This window comes from Homo sapiens, chromosome 10 (assembly GCF_000001405.40).
Source record: "Homo sapiens chromosome 10, GRCh38.p14 Primary Assembly".
Classification (NCBI taxonomy): Eukaryota; Metazoa; Chordata; class Mammalia; order Primates; family Hominidae; genus Homo; species Homo sapiens.
This window is the reverse complement of record NC_000010.11, coordinates 7,064,496-7,087,158: the sequence shown is the minus strand read 5'-3', so window position 1 is coordinate 7,087,158 and position 22,663 is coordinate 7,064,496. Positions and strand designations below refer to the sequence as shown.

Below are 22,663 nucleotides of genomic sequence, written 5' to 3'. Positions count from 1 at the left end.
GCCTCCGAAGTCAATGCCCGCGGCTGCCACATTCTTGGAAATAAAGGTAGCTTTAACAAACATACGTTTGACATGGAGTTGTAAACAGCGGAAATGTGATAGATGTACATAGCCAGAGTTTCAGGATTTCAGAGATTTGGTACCTGTTATGTATATACTTTCTTAAATGGCAGCTCCAACTGGTAGCAGCTCTGAAGAGCAGTGGCTATATACTAGAGAAAATGAGAAGGAAGACACATGTAGGAGCTGCTACTGTGTGATAGGAACTTTAAGCACCGGGGACTTGGTAATGATTTCCCTGAGAGGCAGTGTCCAGGTCCCTAATTCTGTGGACCCTGTGAAATAGACTAGAGGCAAGCACACAAAGTAAAGGCAAAAAGAGAAAGGAAAGCAAAGAATGGAAACTGCTGAACTCTGCATTACAGAACAGAATGAAACGTCGCCCAACATTTCACGAGGTTAGCCATCATCTTTCTTTACAAGTTATCCAGTTCCATTTGTTTGGGGCGTTTTCTTCCTTAACTCCCATGGAAAAATAAATACATCATTTTTTTTTTTGAACTGTGGGTGGAATGAACTCTTTAGAAATTGATATGGGCATCCTCTTGGCTAGATTCCTGCCACTCAACCAAGTAAAGGAACTCACGCGGCTGCAGGACTAAGCTCCTCCCACGTCTGCCGCTGTGGTTGGATGTGCAGGCTGAGAGCGTCGTCTTGGATCCTAGCACCCACCGTGCCTAGCACACAGTAGGTGTTCAGCACATGCCTGCTAGACTGACGTGTCAGATAGTGTTTCAGTTTACCCAATAGTCATGAGTGTCAGAATAGCTGGCTGTCGGCTGGAGCTGGGAGTACATTCCAGGGTAAGTATTAATGTTTCAGCGCTGCTGCGTGCAAATCATACTGTTCTGTATTCCCTCTTCCCACCACAAAATGTGTTTATGTGGATTAAATAGGGTTATTAGGGGTAGCAGGGATAATCAAACCCAAGTTCTACCATACAGTCACTTTTGCCCGGTGAGCTTAATTTAGACACATAGAGGTCAAATTACAAATGGCTGAGCTCACAGAAGCTTCAGTTTCTGGTTCTAGCCACAGGGGGAGAAAGCAGAGCTGGAGACATTCCCAGTTTCTAGGTTCTCATACAAAAACCAACTGGCTGCCACAGCACAGTCACCGAAGAGGGAAGAAGACAAGGAGAGGTCAGAGTTCAAACTCAATTCCGGGAATTTTGTCTTGAGATTGTTTGCCTTTCTTTAATTTTCAGAATTGAGATTCTTCCTGCCTGGGTCTATTACAATTGACTTTAAACTGGAGGAGGTTAAAAAAAGTTTCATAGAGTGAGCAAAAAAACAATGCATCTATTTACGGGCCAAGCTACTCTCCCCTCCCCCATGCAGGCACAGGCAGGCAGGGAACGATTTTTCTGGGGAAAGATTTTTCTTTCTTTTTTAACGCAATGACAAACACTATTTACTAATGTTAAAAAAAAACAAAAACAAAAACAGAAGGAGCTATGTTCTTACCACAAAATAACAACACTGTAGATCACACTAAGTGAAGGGTCCACATCTTATAAACACAACACACTGCATTACTCCACAGTGAGTTATGATGTTTCATTGCAGGGAGCAGCGGAGTCTGAATCTATTAATGATTCATGCTTGCCTCAGAAGACCATAATGTATACTAATCAGACCCAACCGGGGGACAAGAGCACTTTAAATGCATTTGTCCAGTTAATAGTTTGACTTGATCTGATATTTCATTGGGTCACCGACCTTTTCATTGTAGGTAATGTGCAGAGGAAAATGTATGGCTGACACCCTGAAGAATCGACAGAGGACTTGCTGGTTACCAAGCAACGTGCTACCTAAGCTTTGCCTCTGCGTAATTCTGCCAATACTTCTTGCAGTTGATGAGCTTAAGTGTAGCCCTGTGAGCTTGTGAGTGCGTGTATGTGTGTGTGTGTTTTGGGGAGCAGAGACACTACAGGCAGAGAGTAGCTCATTCAGACTGCTTTTTATAGGCATTAAGCAATAAGTTCCCATAATAAACTGCCATGCCACAGTTAATACTCAATAAACAGTATGGTTTATAAGCAATTAGGGACCCAAATCTCAAAATAAGACAGTTCCGCAGAATGAGAGCATCCACTCTAACAAGGCTCAGTAAGATATGTGGCTTGTTAAAAGTGTCATAATTCTCCTTTAAAAAGCAATTAACAGTTTGGTATATTTTGGTCTGCCAAACACAGAGTTTCTTAATCAAATGTGAACACAATCAAAGAGCCACTTCTCAGCTTTACATAATGGACAGTCAAGTACACAGAAAGCACAGCTGAAAATAAAAGGATGAATTGATGTTCTCTCCTGTTTGTTTATCAACCTGTGAGTCCATTGAAGACATCAAGATGAGTCAGATAAATGCATTTTGTCAGGTTTTCAAAGAAAGCCAGCCAGCTTCTCTATTTTGCCAAGGTCTTTGTATTTCCTAGTAACTTCGTAGGTTAAAAAAATATGTTTTCCAGCTCCTTCTTTAAACTGTAGGTGATTGGAGAAATAACACACGTTTGCTTGTTTGTCTTTTATAACCACAGACACAAGCATCTGGTCCTTACTCCGTGCAGCTGCAGGAACATCACTGCCTCTTACCGGATTCGTTGCGAGGTATTTTGCAACAGGATTCCAATGCCCAGTTGCGGGTTTCCTTTAACTACCATATCTGAGGCCCAGCAACTCTATTTTTAAATACACTTGCAAGTGATATAAGCTTCCAACACTATGTACAAGGTGATGGGATGCTGGACAGAGACCGATGTATTTCCTTCTTCAGGGACTTAGCATCCAAGACAGATTTACAAACGACTACACATTTCCTGTTAAAGCACATTGAAATGAATGCACAGTAGATCAATACTATGGGCCTTCTAAAATCACTTATTTGACTCTCTTATCTATAAATTGAGTAATTTTAAAAATTAAGAATGGAGAGAAATGTGCAGAGAGGACGAAAACTTTAATGTGTACTTAGATAGTTGGAAATGTCAAATTAAACCAAATTTAAAAATTGATCCCTCCTCCTTCTGTTCCCACCAGCTCCAGGCATTTATGATGTTCTAGGAAAGTATCTGTTGAAATTCCTGCACTTTATGACATTCCCCCTTTCTATCCAGCTTAATGCGTGGGTAGTAGAATGTAAATGTATTCATATTTACCAGCATTAGAAGCCTCAATTTCATCTGTAAAATAACCAAAGTGAAACAGATAATTTCTAGTATTTTTTCTCTGGCAACCTATGATTCAGCAAATCACTGAACTCTTAAAAATTTTCATAACGTATATGGAGGTCTAGGAAAGTGAAATCAGTCAGAAAAAAATAATAAGTAATGTGGTCCACAGACTTCTTTGAAAGACAAGTATAAATATTCAGACTAAAAACCAAACTTCAAATGAACTGAAGTTTAGAAAATCTTCTAAGCCAAACTTCTGGGACAATGAATTAATTTTCATAGTCAGGATTGGGGGACTATTCAGAATAGGCTGAGAAAATTCTATTCTTCCTACTGGGAATATTTAGAAGGTCACTACACCAACATCACACCAACCTCCATCTAGATAAGTATGAATAGTCCTCAAACCAATGGATGTTGATATATTTTATCCACTCCACGAGCATTTAAAAGGTGTGCTGCATGTTCCGTGTCTCAGACATTACACTCTCTGGGGTGATTCTAATCACCCCTCCCTTTATCCCCACTCTGCTGTACTCACTTTCCAATTCTGAACACGAGAGTTGGAGACCAACTCATGGATGTCTTAGCTTCCTAAGAGAGGATGAATGTAGGGTCCTAAGGACTCATTCAGGAATGCCAAAGTTCCTCTCTCCTTAGCAGAGTGTAGAGGATTAGCCAGAGTTTGAAGAAATATCTTAGTTCTTTGGAATTCAGCCCATAGAATGGAATGTGGCAGACGTGTCCTTCTTAAAACAGCTTCCTTAGGGATGTGCCTCTGTTTGCAGAATCCCACAGTTAGAAATGCATTCCTTTGACAGCGAGGTATGGCAGGGAGACTTCCACAAAGCCAAGCCATTAGCTGGTACTAAGCAAATCAAGTCCTTTTCAGTACACCAAAGTGAAGAGAGCTATCGGGATGGTTCTCTTTGACTGAATTACACGGGACCAAGGGAACTGGGTTAAATAGTATATAGGAGAAGTTAGAATGTGAAAAGGGAGGGGGCAATGCCTAATGCAAATCACACCCATTTAACAATTGCTCTGAGATGTGTCTGCTAGCCAGGGACCCCTTTTCAGAAAATGCAGAGTGGAGTTATGCAGCTTCTGGGCACTCGCCTTCCTCTGCCTTCTTTCCTTCCAGCTAGTTTAGCCATAGCAGCACTGAATTCTCATTTGGGTGAATAGCAAGATTTATCGAAATGAAAAGCACAGTAAATATTGACTGTGGCAGTACGGAGGTCAATATTTACCTCAAGGGACGATAAATCCTCATATTCACTGAAACATAAAGTCAATATTTTGAGGGTGGTGTCAGATGCATCCTAAATGTGTTCACCAGAAGTAGCTGGAAATATTTCTCTAGTGAGCATAGGTGTCTCAAGCTTTGCAGTTTTCCATTTCTGTTCGTATTTTAAAGCATAGAGGGATTGAGAGGGTGGAGAACTTGCATTGCTACTTTTTTTGTTTGTTTGTTTTTGAAAAAAGACAAAGATACAGCTTCCCATCCAAAACGCATCTGTCTTTTAATCATTGTTTTTGAAAACCTTAAAAAGCATTCGTGGGCTGGGACTTTCCCCGTCTATGTGACAAATGGGGAAGATGCTCCCACCCTTTGGCCCCTCAATTACTGCACACAGGGGAAGCAGGAAGGAAGAGCAAGGGATGGATTCATGTTTGCAACAGAGCTTTTCATTGCTCCAGCTGCCGAAGCCTATTTTATTCTCACAAGAAGTGATGTGCATTTACTTATCGATTTTCCATCCACTTCCTTTAAATGTAGCTTTCATTCCACTGATTAATTATTAAACCATTGAATAAAAAGCACTATCGTTTGTTAAAAGAAACCTTCCCCACTAGGCCACTGTTTTGTGTAAATGGAATGTTGTCGCTCCTTTTGAGAAAGCGATGCCTCAACTCCTCCATGGACTTCAGTTCCAAGGTACCCACAGTTGCTGTTTTGTGACACAGCTCTACTCAGGGCTGTTTAAGGGGTAGGGACACGGATCCAGCACAGACAAGAGCTGCAAGAGGCAATAGCCACATCTCTGCTCCTTGGTCCTGGGCAGAGGGGTGGCTGGCTGCCCATGTTGCCCACAGAGTGGGTTTTCAGACTTTCTGGGAAGCAAATGCTTCTTCTCTAAAATGATTCCCTTGGTGCTCACTGATGTCCTGTAACATCATATTTCACTATCACTGATGAAGCTTTAAAAAGGAAACCCCACTGGCCACAAATTCATATTCAGTAGAAATGATTGACACTTTGTCTCTCTCCTGAGCACAGGTTTTGGTGGAGAAGAGATAAGGTGGGCACCTGCATCGCCCACCTGCAGGGAAACTGGGGAGAGAAAGGTACAGGAATGACAGTGCTAGAACTCCCACGTGGGCCCCACTTAGTTCGAGGAATTATTCTGCATCCACCACTGTTTAAGAACATAGCATGGGTTATTGTGTCCATTTCACAGATTGGGGAATGCAGGCAGAGGAGGGAAGTAACCTGCCCAACCTAGGAAGGATGAGTGGGGAGGCAGGATCCAACCGAGGCCATCTGCCGGTGTCATTCCAGGCTGTGAACAGGGTTGGAGCCCAGTTGGCATCATTTTCTTTCTTCTTTTCCTTCTTGTCTTCCCCCCAAGGCCCACCCTCATGCTTTAAATCGGGTGTGTTGGTGAAGGGATTTAGACTGCTTCTCTCTTGGTTTTTGTTCATTTCAGAATGGAGTGCAGCCTCATACTCTCTTTCAAGCTTGGAGTACTTTGGATGTATCCTGGGTAGGCAAAAGCTGCAGGGAGACGCCTAGAGCTGAGTCAGGGTCCTGGTATCCTACCCACTAGGAAACTCTACTGTGCCGGAGATTCCCCTGCCTGTTGGGTTTGGGAAGCTCCGTGGTGGGGCGTGTCAGCCTGGGATTGCTCTGTGACAAGCGTGGGAAGAAGAATGTGGATGTAGCAATTAAACAGGACCAATTCAACATGCAAGAAAACTCTATGCGCAGCTCAATTCTAAATTTCTACTTCCAGAAGAGGTCCTATAAGATTTCCTCTCCATGCCCATTCCTCTCAAGTGGTATTTAGCTTCCCCTCCTGAGTAAGAGTCACCTCCATGTACCTTTGCAGGGGAGAAGCTGGCCCCATCCTTCCGTAATGACTTATAAGAGCAAAGCAAGGATAAACCCAGTGCCTTCTGTCAATTTACTGGGTACCAAAGGGAAAACCGTAAGCTTAGACTTTCAGATGAAGAATGGAAATATCCTTAGTGCCATGAGACTGCCACTGAGTGTTTTTCTCCCCTATTTACAAGGCTACTTAAGATGGAGATTGTCTCAGAGGAAAATTCTATGTTAAGAAACCAGTAGTGTGCAACTCCTGGACATGGTTATAATGTCCTGAGCTCTGTTTGAGGACTGGGGAGAATTTAAAGGCATTTGCTAGGACTTTCAGGGCAGGGTCTTTTCCTTTTATTTTGTGCTCCTGGGACCCTTGTGATGCTGGTTTGCTGACATGCTAGGCACACGTCACACTTGGTGAATAAAATGAAAATAGACATAGAAGCTTAAAAAGCAAGTGGCAACCCAAATATCCATTAACAGATGAATAAATAAACAAAATGTGGTATATACAGTGTAGTGGTTCCTCAAAAAATTAGAAATCGAATTACCATATAGTCCTACAATTCCACTTCTGAATATTTATGCAAGAGAACTGGAAGCAGGGACTTGAAAAGATATTTGTTGACCCATGTTCATAGCAGCATTCACAATAGCCAATAAGTGGAAGCAACCCCAGTGTCTATTGACAGATAAATGGATAAAGGAAATTTCGTAGCCTTCCTTGTAGAGGTCTTTCACCTCCCTCGTTAGGCATATTCCTAAGTATTGTTATTTTTATTTTGTTGCAGCTATCATAAAAGGGTTTGAGTTCTTGATTTGATTTTCTGCTTGGTCGCTGTTGGTGTATAGCAAAGCTACTGATTTGTGTATATTAATTTTGTATCCTGAAACTTTGCTGAATTCATTTATCAGTTCTAGGAGTTTTTTGGAGGAGTCTTTAGGATTTTCTAGGTATACGACCATATCATCAGTGAACAGTGACAGTTTGACTTCTTCTTTACCGATCTGGGTGCCCTTTATTTCTTTCTCCTGTCTGGTTGCTCTGGCTAGGATAGAAATGGTGAGGATAGGCATCCTTTTCATGTTCTAGTTTTCATAAGGAATGCTTTCAAATTATCCCTGTCCCATATAATGTTGGCTGTGGGTTTGTCATCGATGGCTTTATTACATTGAGGCATGTCCCTTGTATGTTGATTTTGCTAAGGGTTTTAATCATAAAGGGATGCTGGATTTTGTCAAATGCCTTTTCTGCATCTATTGAGATCATCATATGATTTTTTTTATTCTGTTTATGTGATGTATCACATTTATTGACTTCTGTGTGTTAAACCATCCCTGCATCCCTGGTATGAAACCCACTAGATCATGGTGATCATGGTGAATTATCTTTCTGATAGGCTGTTGGATTCGGTTCGCTAGTATTTTATTGATAATTTTTACATCTATGTCCATCAGGAATATTGGTCTGTAGTTTTCTTTTTTTGTTATGTTCTTTCCTGGTTTTGGTATTAGTGATGCTGACTTCTTTTTTATTATACACCCTGGAATATTATTCAACCTTAATAACAAAGAAGGAAATTTTGTCACGTACACAAAATGGATGCACCTTGAGGACATTATGCTAAGTGAAATAAGCCTGGTACAAAGATACAAATGCAAACTGATTCCATTCATGTGCAGTCCCTCGAGCAGTCAAAATTCTAGGGGCAGGAGGTGGGCTGCTGTGTCAGGTGCTGCGGGGAAAGAGAATGAAGAGTTGTTGTTTAACAGGTAGACAGTTTCAGTTTGGGAAGATGAAAAGGGTCTGGTGATCTGTTTCACAACAATGTGCATATACTCATGACTTCTGAACTATATATTTAAAAGTGGTTACAATGGTAAATTGTGTTATGCATTTTTTACAACAATAAAAAACGTTAGGCCGGGCGCGGTGGCTCACGCCTGTAATCCCAGCACTTTGGGAGGCCGAGACGGGCGGATCACGAGGTCAGGAGATTGAGACCATCGTGGCTAACACGGCGAAACCCCGTCTCTACTAAAAATACAAAAAAATTAGCTGGGCATGGTGGCGGGCGCCTGTAGTCCCAGCTACTCGGAGAGGCTGAGGCAGGAGAATGGCATGAACCTGGGAGGCAGAGCTTGCAGTGAGCGAAGATCGCGCCACTGCACTCCAGCCTGGGCAACAGAGTGAGACTCTATCTCAAAAAAAAGATAAAATTAAAATAAAATAAAAATTAAGTTGTGAATTCGCTTCTCATTAAGAAAAGAAAATGCTATCAAAATACTCAGCACTGGAGGGAGAAGCACATAGGAGGCAGGAAAAGTACATTTATGGAGTGGCTTCTATATTGCAGAGGTCAGGTTGGGGTAGAACTTAGCAAGCCGATAAGCTTTCTCAGCTGCAGATGCTTCCCAGATACAGAAATGAAATTGTGAGATGAATGAGCCAATTGTTTTTAAACCCATGGGATAGAAGCCTTGTGAGGTGACCTTTGGTGGGCACTTACTATTGAGTGTACTTGGCCCGTGTAAACCCTCATATAGGCACCGCCTCATTCAGCCCCCAACTTCAGGATTTCAGCATGATCATCACGACCATTTAGAGACAGATGAGGAAATTAAGGCTCAGCGAGTGAGGTTAAGTAACTTGCCATCCAGCTGGCGACTACAGGCCCATATCCCAAACCCAAGTTGTTCATCATGATTATTTACTGCACCATTAACTGCCCCGTGAAAGGTTAACTTTGATTAATCAAACTCCTTCAGCTTGCCTGCTTGTTCAACAGCTCCAAGGCCATCTATCCTGCTGTCAGCCAATGTTCATTTCTTAAATGTTCATTTGAGAAATGTTCAAAGATAGAATAAGAGGCTTCATTGAGTGCCTCAGGAAATAAAATACACCAGGCTTCTGACATATCCCTGGCATGACTGATACCTAACAATCTTGTAATAATTAGTAATATTCCAAGTCACCTGTTGGAAGCTCTGTTCTAGAATTCCTTTACAGCACTTCACACTGAGCAGTTTACCTTCCCTAAAGCTCACCTTTGCTTCTTTCCTCAAGGCTGGGGTCATGTTTGTCTGCCATGTCTTCTGTTCCCCTCCAATTCTCTCCCTCATTATGGCACTACCTTTGAGACCAAATCTGTGAGCTTGTTTCCAAACTTCAGCTCTTCATGAAAGGTGCTTTTGGATTTGAATTCTGTGAAAGAGAATAGCATGTATATTTCCTCCTACATTGAAGCTTCTCTCCTTTGGAACAATGCTTGCCCATTTTCCTGAGTGAAAACCAAGAAGTTAGAAGTTGAGGAGTTCTACCATCTTTTAATCACTTGTTGACATTGCCTTAATTCTTTGGCAATGGGCCTATTTATTGCTGGTCAGTTTTATTCCCCAACATTTTATTTTCTTAAAATATGCCTTTTTTTCTTTGTTCTTGGCATTTTTCATGAAACAATTTCTTTCTGGCCCATAGCTTCTTGGGCACTGCTCTTGGAAGTTGATGCTATGCTGTGTATTCTTAGTGGAGTGGTTATGAGTGAGCTAGTATCACTTCGTTGACATTCTGAGCAAGGACGCTGTTAGCAAAGTAGATCAAGAGTTATAAACTTGGAATAGTAAAGTCAATGTAGAATGATATTCTGATGAGTGAGGTCATCCTGTCACTACTGACAAGTTTCTCTGTGCTAGTTTTTGAGTCTGGATTTGGAGAGCATCTGTGTTCTCCAGCTGCCTAAGTGAACAGTCCTAGCAACAAACTTAACCAGATCTGGCGAGCTGTGACTTTGGCTTGGTCACTGCACTGGTCAATGAAGTCCTTGGCTGGGAATCGAGAAATCTGATGGTAAGATGATAACGCAATGCAGTCATTAGTGTTCATATGTGAATGGGTGAAGCATTACAAAATCAGACTATACACCTTAGAGTATTTTAGAAAGTAATGACAGTGCTATTATGTAGAAAGACAGGATTCATAGAGGATAATAAATCCTAATCAATAAATGGTCACTTGACTCTCAGTGAAACTCCCAGAGCAGTAACACTCTTATAAGCAGAGAAGTCAATATTGCTGCCAAACTTAGTTGACACTTAACAAAAATCTATGGAGTAAAAGAAAGCAAGCAAACAAATATTAGGTCTAGCAGAGGAACAAATGTGAAAACAGAGAAACCATAGAAAAGCTTACTCTTTGACACAATGACTGCCCAGAAACGCTAGCTCGATGTGCTGGGAAGAAGAGGCACCTCTTCCAGATTATTATTCAGAAGGCAGCACCACCAGGTGATATGTATTAGGAGATCATTTTTAATTCCAATAGTAAATGATCATACTTGACTTATTAATTGAGCCTATAGTCTTATAATGAATCTATTGCAAATTCACTTGAGTAATAAATAAACTAATGTTTAACACGATAATAGCTATAACATGGCATCATTTCAGAAGATAATCACTCTTACACTATTTTATTTTATTTTCCTGGAGGTTGTATGCACATAGTGAAGGAAGGCATTATTCTTGTCGTTCTGAAAGTTTCCTGTTGAGTAACAGCTGGTCTTAGGTTGGGCTTCCCAGGAAGCAGACCCTGAAACAAGAATCAGAGTGCAAATGGATTCTTTCTTTGGGAGGTGATTCCAGGAAGCACGCATACGGAGGTGGGGAAGGGAGAAAGGAAGGAAGGGAGCCAATGTGGGGAACGTTAATGAGCAGATAATAGCAGGCAGCACTGGGAGATGGTGTACGGCGGACCTCAGAGTTGACCTACCCAAGGGATTGGTGAGTTGGACGGTCTATTTCCAGTTCCTGTCCATGGCTTGTCTGAGGGTTGCTGAGAATGGGGATCATTCATTCTGCCCCATGTGCAGGCTGAGCCCAGCTAGAGATGGCACTCAGGGCAAGAGCCCCAGGGACTTGCAGAAGCAAGTGACCAGCATGTACAGGACAGGTGAGGCCAAGGGGACGTGGGTGGACACTGGCAGCATCTGAGACATGGCTGCACCTGCCTTCTTCCTTCTCATCCCCATTTTCCCAGAGAAAGTCAATTCCAAGGTTGTAATTTTTCTGCTATTTGCTTTTGTATTTCCAAATCATATACTTGTACTGCTATGCATTAATTGATCAATCTTAGATAATATCTATCAACTTTACATGTTTTAAAATTTGGGCATTTACCTCTTTTATATCTCCACTAGCCCCTCTTTCTTTCTTCTTCCCCTGTCTTCTCAGTAGTGTCATACATCAAATTTTGGCCACATCTACCAATTAGATAATGCTATGTAATGATTTTTACTAATGGGTCAAGTCATATAATTTGATTCCATTTTCTGTTTCACACTATGTTTTTGTTATTCTTAGAATTAATTATTGCCTCATTTTTTTCCCATTTGCTTGGTTTTGTATGTACTTGTCACTAACTCTTACCAGATGTTTTAACACATTTGGCATACGTCTACTAATAATCTTGCCAAGAGCTCGAATGCAATGCCAAGCAGTCCATCAGGTCGGTTCTGCCGTCCAGTTCTCCACCTGCTCCACACCTCCTCAGAGAAATGTGCTCCAAGCTTCCCCTTCCTCTGTCCCAGTTTGTTCTCTAAGCCTGTCATGAAGCTGAGTGCCTGCGGCTTCCCTGTGCTGCCTTTCTGGGGTCCTGTTCCCTCCATCCCACACTTTTCTCTTCTGGGTTTAGTCCCCAGTTGAGGCAGTTGAAGAGGAATTGCAGCTTTCTTGAGAGAGCCTGCAACACAGATGTGCACCCGGGAGCCAGGCAGTGTCTCCACAGAGATGTCCTTCTGCCTGGCTGCAGGTATCTGAGAGTGATGGGAAGGACCCAGGCTGCAGTCCTAAAGTTCAAGGTGGAGTTTTCATTTAATCCTTCTGTTTTCAGCCATGTGTTTCATGCTGCCTTCTCTGCTTAATGCCCCTGAGTCCAGAGGATCTTAGTTTCAATGTATTCAGAGAGTAACTCTTGTCTCCCTCTGGGGAGAGGGGCTGTATGGCTGCCTGGCTGCAAGGGTTGGGGTGAGCAACACTGAGGAGTGTCCAGTGGTCCTACATGCAGATAAGAAACAAGCCTTACTGTTTTCAGCCATGTGCTTAACTTAATCTTCCCTCTTAGAACTACCCCTCTCAGCAGTTCTGTAAGGAAAAATGTGTCACCTCTCATCAGGAAGTCCCCATTGCAGGAATCTCTCTGTGTTGCCTCACCCCCACTGTTCCTCCATCCACTCTGTCTTCCAAAAACATATGGACTTTTCTCATTCCCAGTTATACCTGTTAACACTCTCTTTTTACCCATGAATTAATAGCATTATTGTTTCTTTCCTTCCATTTCGGTGGAGCAGGTTTGGCCAAGAGAAGAGCACATGTAACCATTCCTGTATGTCCACATGGACTCTTCTCATACTTCTGAAATGTCTGGATACGAGATCACTGTTCTGTGCTTGGTTAGTTGTGACCATAATAGTAGATGGTGCATCAAGAGTTATTTAGAATGAATTAATTAAAAGTAATGGCAAAAACCACAATTACTTTTGCACCAACCTAAGAAGATAAAGCTAATGTCGTTTGATTGTGGGTTCAGCTGGGCACAATATGCCCCATAACTTGCCTGGGATTGTTGGGAGGTCAGCAGGACAGCATGTTTGGAGCGTAGCCCAGGGAACAAACAGGGCTGCTTCTCCCTGCAGGGGATGAGGGGAAACCCTTTAGGCCACTACACAACAGTTCGGCTCAGTGTTCTAGGAGAAGGGCAGAGGGCTTGTCTGATCTATCTTACATCTGCTATTGTTGGGGGACATATAATTTCTCCTGCATCATGTTGGTGGTTGGATGTGTTTTGGCTTGGGCTTAGTTTTACCTTATATCTTGCAAGCTTTATTTCATGGAGGTTCACACCTGATCCAATTTTACCTTGCTTTTTTTTTTTGGCAGTTTTTTCTGGTTTGATCTGGTGCATCATACTCACAATTGCTGTTCTGCACTTTTTCTGAGCTACACTTTTTTCTTCATCTTTTCCTAAGCTGGATTCCCACTGGTTCTTTGCAATGACTTAGGACCAGACTGGACTGGACTGAACGGGGAATAGCAGGATTGCAATCTGGTACCTGTTTGCTGGCATTCTCGCTACCAGAAATCACAGCATCATCTTCCTTTCTCTCATGCCACCTTCCCTCTGGTGTATTCCTTTGCCTAAAGTGAGATACAACTTAAGTACAGTGGAATGTACAGATCTCAAGTGTACAATTCAGTGTTTCGGCAGTGTTCACACCCACGTAACTGATGCTTCACCCAAGGATATTTCTTATGATCCTTACCAGGCACTACACTCTATTCTCACCTAGGAAACCACTCTTCTGATTTTTTTCTCCACAGTTTAGTTTTGTGTGTTCTAGAACTTCATGTGAATTAGAAGCATGCATAATATCTTCTTTCATGTTTGTCTTCTTTTACTCATCCTAATGTCTGTGAGAATCAACTATGGTGTTATGTATGCATAAGAATAATTCATTTTCTTTTTTTTAACCAAGGAGTATTCCACTGCCACAATTTTAAATAATCCATTCACTTTTTGATGGCATTTCCATTGTTGCCATTTTGGGGTCTTGTCAATAAACACCAATAAATACCATATACATGTGGGGTTTGTGGACATTGGTTTTCATTTCTATTGCATAAAAACCTGGGAATGGAAATCATGGGTTATAGGGCAGGTTCTTGCTAAACTCTAAAGAAAAAGACCTTTTCTTCGGAAATAATTGTACAGTTCTACATTTCTACCAGCAACACATGAAAATCCTGGTGCTTCACATCCTTGCCAACGTTGGGTTGTATTGTCCGTCTTTTTAATTTTAGATGTTGAAGTGACAGTGTGATATCATCTCATTGTCATTTAACTTGGATTTTCTTAATGATTTTGGCCATTTTTATATCTTTCTTTTTAAATTGTACGTCCAAGATTTTGCCATGTTTTGATTAGGTTCTTTTTTCTTTTTATCATTGACTTCTAGATGTTCTTATATACTCAGGATATAAGGCTTTGCCAGATTTATGTATGGCAAATAGTTTCTCCCAGTTTGTGGCTTTCCTGTTTATTTTCTTAATGGCGCATTTTGTTTAGCAAAAGTTTTAAATGTTTAAATAAAATAGCTATTTTAATTTTTTTTGCTTACTAATTCCAACATTAATATAATCTCTGGGTCTGTTTCTATTGACTATTTTTTTCTCTGGGAGTAGGTCACATGTTCCTGCTTCTCTGCATGTCTTAGTCCTTTAAAAAACTATTATTAGATGCTGTACATTGTAGATTATACATTGTAGAGTGTGGATTTTACTTTGTTTCTTTGAAAGATGTTGAGTTTTCTTCTGACAGTTGATTTTGTCAAACATTTATTTTAGGCTTTGTTAGGTTGGGTCTAGAACTGATGGTAGTCTAGGGCTAAAACATATCTATTCCTAAGACGTGATTTTCTTCCTTGGATGTTCAGTGTGGTGTCTCCATTATGAACGGTTGGAGTTGTAACATCTCCCAGCACTGTGTCATTTTTGGAAATTCCATTCAGTTCACAACCCCTTACCTAGTAGCTGTTTCCTAATAAGTCTTGCAGAGTTTTCTCCAGCACATACGCAGCTTTGCATCTGGCCAAAGACACAAGGAAGAATGTTATGCAAATTTCCGGAACTCCTTTTCTACACAGCTCCCTTCTGACACTCTGCCCCATATATTCCACCTGCCTTAAAAGACTCAAACTCCAATCTTTGTTTCCTCTACCCGGTGAGAATGTTCCTCCTTTGTGTGCGTGTGTGTGTGTGTGTGTGTGTGTGTGTGCGCATGTGCACGCACGCTATGGTTTGGAAAGCGCCTAGAGGCATGAAGCTGGGGTGAATTTGGAACTCGCTGGTGGGTCCTCCTCTTCTCAGAATGACAGCCGATGAAGTCCGTGGTCCAATTTCTGTAAATAATTTTATTTCTCCATTTTATAGTTATTTACAGCAGGAGGGTAAGCCCTACATCTGTTCTTCAAACATAGATTGATATGGATGTCTCCTCCCTTTGCTTTTATCAAGGACAGTGATCTTTACCATTTTGTGGGCTTCTCTCACCTTCTGCTGAGAGGCAATCCTATGACATTTTGAGAATAGGGTGGTTGGAGAAGCATTGGTGGTTCTGACCCTTGCTGTCTGGGGACTGGGTGGGAGTTAAGTTTGACACTACCTAAGTTACTTGGTGAAAAAAAACCACAGTGCTTCCATCAGTTATTCAAACGACGACAATGATAACATCCTGTGAAACTGTCATAATGGAAAAAATAGACTCTTGATGCTTGAAAGCAATTTAAATGTATATTTTGTTGTATTGAGTTAAACATGAGAAAAGTAAAAAAAAAAATGAGACAGAGATAAATTCTTCTCTTTTTCCTCTGAATATGTACCAAATGTATATCCGTGTTTGTAATGTTTATTATTCTGATATTTGATGGATTACTCTGCTTCCACTTTTTTCCATAATTTTGTCTGTCATTGCATAGGTATTATTTTTTATAGTATTTTAGTTTTATTCTCTACAATTTCATGTGCAGAGATTGAACACCAGCAGAGGGCCATGGAATGTCCTGCCTGCAGTTTTGTGATCTGCAGGTGTTGATGGGTGACCTGAAGCCTGAAGTGAGACAGCTGGCTCAATGTGTCGTGTACCTCACACCCACAACCTTATCCTATTTGGTTATCACTGGTTTGTAAGACACACTTCTCATTCTCCCGGGGTTTTTTTTTCTGTTTTTTGTTTTGTTTTGTTTTAATTTCAGAAGCAGATGGAAGAGGTGGATATTATTATACATACACTTTATCTGTTTAATACACTTAAAGTCCTGTCAGCCTTGAGACTTGAATCTAGACAGTTAAATTTTTTGTGCAGTTGGGCAAGCCCAAAGAAAAGTGCAAAAGTGAAAACTCATGAAAAAGTGATTGAGAAGCTGCATCTATGAATCTGTAATCAGTATCTATTGAGGACTCCTAGAAAATGCAAGCTTAAAAAAGAACTCGTCTTCCCCTCTAACAATATACAGCAAAATCTTGTCACTGAGTCTTCCTAATGCATGGAAACCTTATCAGAGAAGTTACATAGGTTTGTGTTATAGAAATAGATATCCTAGATTCATATTATTGAAACTATAAAAGGTATGGCTATCCCCCACTCTATTGCATGTTAACAAGACACGCATTGTACCATTCTGTACTTCTTCCCACATTTAATCTGGAGTCTCTGATATTTCATGGATTGACTATTTTTGATCTCTCTACATGCATTGTTATTTTACCTTAACGAAACCTCCTAGAGCCCCTTATTCATCCCCCATTACCTTACCCTTCACCTCAATGGTCTGTCATTGCTTCTTAAATGAATCAGTGCAATAATCTCAATGTCCAGGAACCAGTCTACACTGCACACTTTTACAAATCTATTTTTTTCAAAATACCTGATACTTCACAAAATGCCTAGCTTCTCTCCTATTTTCCATTCTTCAGTAAATAGCAATGTCAAACTTTTGGTTGCTAAGGCTGAAAACCTGGGAGTCATGTAAGATGATTCCTCTTTCTCTCCATATCCAATACATCAGCAAATCCTGTTAACTCTCTTCATAAATATAGCCAGAATCTAACCCCTTCTCACCTCCTCCACCAATATCACTTTAGTCCAAGCCAACCTTCTCATACCTGGTCTATTACAGGATCCTGACTGGGTGATCTCATTGTCCTCTTGCTACTTTCTGACTATACTTCTTATAGCTGCCAGAAAGTTCCTTCTAAAATGTCTCTGTGGTGCTCAAAAGCCTCCAGTGATTTTCCGTCTCACTCAGAGTAAATGCCAAAGTCCTTATAATGGTCACACAATCTTCAGTCCTTCACATTCCGCGCCCCCATCTCCCGCTGGCCTTGGCTATGGCCACAACTGTCCAACCCTCAGCTCCTCCGGCATGCCTGCATGTCCCCACCTCAGGGCCTCTGCAGTCACCATTCCCACGGCCTGGGATATTTTCATTTTAGATGGCCATTGGTCTTGCTCCTTCTCTTCATGCTAGGATCTGCTCAGAGAATCTCTCCATGCCCTTCCCCTGTCTAAAACAGTCTTCCTCCCTCTTCCCTTACTCTGCTTTACTTTTTCCCATAGCACTTATTATTCTGACTTATTTTACACACACACACACACACGCGTGCACACACATAATTTATTTGCATATCCTTTGTCTCCTCTCACCAAAATTTAAGCTCGCATGGAGAAGCAGTTTATCTGTAATGTTTACTACCATGTCCCCAGCATCTAGACTAGCTCTGCACACATGATAGGCATATATGTTTGATAAATGAATTAATGGACTGATCTTTTCAGTATGTTGCTTTTTCCATGCCACATCCCAGATAAGAGCTGCTGCAGCTCATCAAAGTCTTACTCCGTAGTTTCATGGGTTTGCCCGCTCTCTGGGGCTTTGTGAGCAAGCCTCTTCTTACCTGCCCACTTTATTTCCCACTCTCAGAATCCTCTGGTCCAGTCACTCAGGCCAGGCTCCTCACTGGCCAACACACTGCAGTGACTAACATGAACATTTCTGAATACAGAAGTCACCTTGTCAAATATGTTCCTCCATTTTAAGTTTCCAAAAAAAATTAAACATAAAACTCCCCAATCATTCAGCATTCCCATTTCTGGGTATATATCTAAAAGAATTAAAATATTTGTAAACCTATGTTTATTGCAGCAGTATTTGCAGTAGCCAAGATGTGGAAGCAGGCTAAGTGTTAATTGAAGGATGAATGAATAAATAAATGTGGGTCGGGCGCGGTGGCTCATGCCTGTAATCCCAGCACTTTGGGAGGCCGAGCCAGGTGGATCACAAGGTCAGGAGATCGAGACCATCCTGGCTAACATGGTGAAACTCCAGCTCTACTAAAAATACAAAAAAATTAGCCGGGTGTGGTGGCAGGCGCCTGTAGTCCCAGCTACTCGGGAGGCTGAGGCAGGAGAATGGTGTGAACCCGGGAGGTAGAGCTTGCAGTGAGCGGAGATGGTGCCACTGCACTCCAGCCTGGGCGACAGAGCAAGACTCCATCTCAAAAAAAAAAAGAGAGAAAAAAAAGAAATGTGTTCTATACATACAATGCAATATTATTTTGCCTTAAAAAAGAAGGAAATCCCATCATATGCTACAATATGAATGAAGCTCGAGGACATTATGCTAACGGGATTAAGCTAGACACAAAAGAACAAATACTACGTGATCCCACTTACATGAGATTCCTAGAGTAGTCAAAATCGTAGAGACAGAAAGTAAAATGATGGGCAGGGGCTGGGAGTAGGGAAAATGAGAGTGGTTGCTTAATGGGTGCAGAGTTTCCGTTTTGCAAGATGAAAAGGTTCCGGAGATCTGTTGTACAACAAGGTGTGTATACTTGACACTACTGTATGATGCATTTAAAAGTGATTAAGAAGATACATTGTATGTTGTGTACTTTTTACCACAATTAAGAAAAAATGTTGGCCAGGCGCAGTGGCTCATGCCTGTAATCCCAGCACTTTGGGAGGTTGAGGCAGGAGAATGGCGTGAACCTGGGAGGCGGAGCTTGCAGTGAGCCAAGATCGTGCCACTGCACTCCAGCCTGGGCGACAGAGCAACACTCTGTCTCGAAAAAAAAAAAAAAAGAGAGAAAGAAAAAATATTTTGCTCCTTCCCAAATAGTACCCATCCTTTCAATTTCAGCTTCAGGGCTGGCAATGTTCCTTGATCATTCCTGCCTATGATTTTTTTTTTTCTTCTCTCAACTCATGTAACACTTATATTCCAGACATTCTGCGCAACACTTACTTGATTTTTTTGTAACTGTCTTATGTATGTAGATAGATGGCTTTTCCCAGGTAGACTTCAAGCTTCTCTAGGGCAGGCATCACGCTTAGGCTTTTTGTAACCTACACAAAAAATACACAAGTTGGACTATGTTACCGTTATATAATCTTTGATGAATTGAATCAGGTTGAAGATCATTCTTCTTTAAGATCTTCAGGAGACTGTGACTGGGTGTGGTGGCTCATGCCTATAATCTTAGCACTTTGGAAGGCCAAGGCAGGAGGACCACTTGAGCCTGGGAGTTTGGGACCAGTCTGGGAAACATGGCAAAACCCCATCTCTACAAAAAGTAAAAAAATTAGCCTGGCATGGTGGAGCACACCTGTAGTTCCAGCTCCTAAAGAAGCTGAGGTGGGAGGATCGCTGGAGCCCGGGAGGCAGAGGTTGCAGTGAACTGAGCTGAGATTGCACCATTGTATTCCAGCCTCGGTGGCAGAGAAACATCCTGTCTCAAAAAAAAAAAAAAAAAAAAAAAAAAAGATCTTCAGGAGACTAAATTTGCAACTATCCTTGACATCCTTGATGCTATGTTAGTGTTAACCGTGCTAAATTTTTCACTGGGCCTTCTCTTTAATAGCAAGTTGCTTTAGAAACAAATATTTCCTCCCAAACCGTCTATACATCTCTCAATTCCCTTTGCAATTGCTATGATTATTTTATTCTTGCAAATATTTGGACATTTCTGCATAAACACCCATTTAGAAATTAACCACTTGAACTTTAAGAAACTTTTGACATTAATAAAATTAAATGATGTTTTTCCTAACTCTCACTGTTCTTCCAGCAATTTTTTTAAACAATCCTATTTGGAACAGAAATAATGTCACTTCGGGAAAGAGGCATTGACATTTTCTGACCAAGACACCTTTAATAATTCATTATCACCAAATATTCCAATGTTGTTGAACTTAAAAATCAGAAAATTTAATGCCATGCTTACAGCTAACTTCTCAGTATATGAATTATTTATTTTGTGCCATTTCTGGAAGAAAAAATATGGCCCACAGTCATAGCATGAGTGTATGTATATTTAATATTTTTACTGCGCATTCATTAAAAATCAGTATTTATTCCCTAGAAAAACAGGATAGGATAAGAGTTGATTGGCTGCTACGAAGGAAAACACCGTCCCTTTTGGGATTGCGAAGCAGCCAGACACAGCAAACTGTGATGTAAGCTGGAAAGGTGGTGAATGAGGGTTTCTTGGACTTGTTTATCTTCCTCACTGAGGTCATGCAGCCTGCTGCTTCTTTGTAATTTTTTTTTTTTTTTTTTTTTTTTTTTTTTTTTGAGACGGAGTCTCGTCCTGTCGCCCAGGCTGGAGTGCAGTGGCGCGATCTCGGCTCACTGCAAGCTCCGCCTCCCGGGTTCACGCCATTCTCCGGCCTCAGCCTCCCAGGTAGCTGGGACTACAGGCGCCGGCCACCGCGCCCAGCTAATTTTTTTTTTTTTTTTGTATTTTTAGTAGACATGGGGTCCTTGTAAGTTTTATTGCAGGGGTCCCCAGCCCCAGGGCTATGGATGGGTACTGGTCTGTGGCCTGTTAAGAATCGGGCTGCACAGCAGGTGAGCGGTGGGGAAGCGAAACTTCATCTGTATTTACAGCCACTCCCCATTGCTGGCATTACTGCCTGAGCTCAGCCTCTTGTCAGATCAGCCGTGGCATTAGATTCTCATAGGAGTGCGAGCCCTGTTGTGAGCTGTGCATTTAAGGGATCTAGGTTGCGTATTCCTCATGAGAATCGAATGCCTGATGATGTCACTGTCTCCCATCACCCCCAGATGGGACTGCCTAGTTGCAGGAAAACAAGCTCAGGTTCCCTTATTCTACATGAGTTACATCAGTTGTTACAACTGATATTGTTGTAATATATTGTTATTACATTGTAATATATAATGAAATAATTATACCACTCACGTAGATAGTTGTTGTATAATTATAATAATAATAATAGAAATAAAGTGTCCAGGTACAGTGGCTCATGCCTGTAATCCCAACACTTTGGGAGGCCGAGGCGGGGGGATCACCTGAGGTGAGGAGTTTGAGTCCACCCTGGCTAACATGGTGAAACCCCACTCCTACTAAAAGTACAAAAAATTAGGCGGGTGTAAGTGGCACGTGCCTGTAATCCTGACTACTTGGGAGGCTGAGGCAGGAGAATCGCTTGAACCCAGGAGGTGGAGATTGCAGTGAGCTGAGATTGTGCCACTGCACTCCAGCTTGGGCAACAAGAGTGAAACTCTGTCTCAAAAAAAAAAAAAAGTGCACAATAAATGTAATGCACTTGAATCATCTCAAAACCATCCGCCTTCCCTGGTCCATGGAAAAATTATCTTCCATGAATTCAGTCCCTGGTGCCAAAAAGGTTGAGGATGGCTGACATAAAGGATGGGAACCTTGGTTTCACAACATAACCACCGTCAGATAATGGTGGAAAACACTCCACCTGCAAGCCAGACATCTGGTGAACACAAGCAGATACAATGTTTCAATATTTATCTCATTATCAATGAACCGACTGAGTTTCTGATTTGTATTTTTATGTACCATGAGTTAGGTTAGTATGTATCAGCCCTGGAGGACATTATGTTTTTTTCGTTGTTGTTGTTTTGTGTGGCCTTAAGGTTTTATTTTATTTTATTTTATTTTATTTTATTTTATTTTATTTTATTTTATATTATCATTATTATTGAGACAGAGTCTTGCTCTGTCACCCAGGCTGGAGTGCAGTGGTGCGATCTTGGCTCACTGCAAGCTCTGCTTCCCGGGTTCACGCCATTCTCCTGCCTCAGCCTCCCGAGTAGCTGGGACTACTAGCGCCAGCCACCATGCCAGGCTAATTTTTTTGTATTTTTAGTAGAGACGGGGTTTCCCCGTGTTAGCCAGGATGGTCTCGATCTCCTAACCTCGTTATCCACCTGCCTCGGCTACTATTATTTTTCTTGAGACAGAGTCTCACTCTGTCACCTAGGCTGGAGTGTAGTGGTGTGATCTCAACTCACTGCAACCACCACCTCCACCTCCCAGATTCAAGAGATTCTCGTGCCTCGACCTCCCTAGTAGCTGGAACTACATGTGCGCACCACCACACTCAACTAAATTTTTGTATTTTTAGTAGAGATGGGGTTTCGCCCTCTTGACCAGGCTGGTCTTGAACTCCTGTCCTCAAGCCATCTGCCTGCCTTGTCCTTCCAAAGTGCTGAGATTACAGGCATGAGCCACCAGACCCAGCCCTGACCTTAAGGTTTTAAACGTCCAATTCTAACCATGGTCCTTGGGTACTGTTGCTTTAATGGACTACACCATGACACGTCATGAAGAAGCCAAAATGACAAGACCACCAATAAGGGACATATAAACAAAGATGAACAGTTAAAATAATAAATGAGGCAGAACTTCCTGATGATTGTTCTTGAATGGAGATAAGG

General features: G+C 41.6%; 1 long non-coding RNA gene across 1 annotated transcript in view, besides 3 other annotated features; it reads left to right on the top strand.

The window, feature by feature from the left end:
• LOC105376387 (uncharacterized) overlaps positions 1–22,663 on the top strand; it is a 294,200-nt gene that overhangs the window by 31,311 nt on the left and 240,226 nt on the right. The window lies entirely within an intron of this gene.
• Positions 3,750–4,251: an enhancer, noted in NCBI's record as "NANOG hESC enhancer chr10:7124870-7125371 (GRCh37/hg19 assembly coordinates)". NCBI's record gives its function as "activates a minimal SCP1, AML or CMV promoter by ChIP-STARR-seq in primed H9 embryonic stem cells {active_cell/tissue: H9 hESC(primed)}" and the evidence as "EXISTENCE:reporter gene assay evidence [ECO:0000049][PMID:30033119]".
• Positions 11,011–11,190: a silencer, noted in NCBI's record as "fragment chr10:7117931-7118110 (GRCh37/hg19 assembly coordinates)". NCBI's record gives its function as "represses an EF-1alpha promoter that drives an FKBP-Casp9 reporter gene in an ReSE screen in phorbol 12-myristate 13-acetate-treated (for megakaryocytic differentiation) K562 erythroleukemia cells {active_cell/tissue: K562(+PMA)}" and the evidence as "EXISTENCE:reporter gene assay evidence [ECO:0000049][PMID:32094911]".
• Positions 20,723–20,782: a silencer, noted in NCBI's record as "silent region_2110". NCBI's record gives its function as "represses an Ori minimal core promoter by ATAC-STARR-seq in GM12878 lymphoblastoid cells {active_cell/tissue: GM12878}" and the evidence as "EXISTENCE:reporter gene assay evidence [ECO:0000049][PMID:35858748]".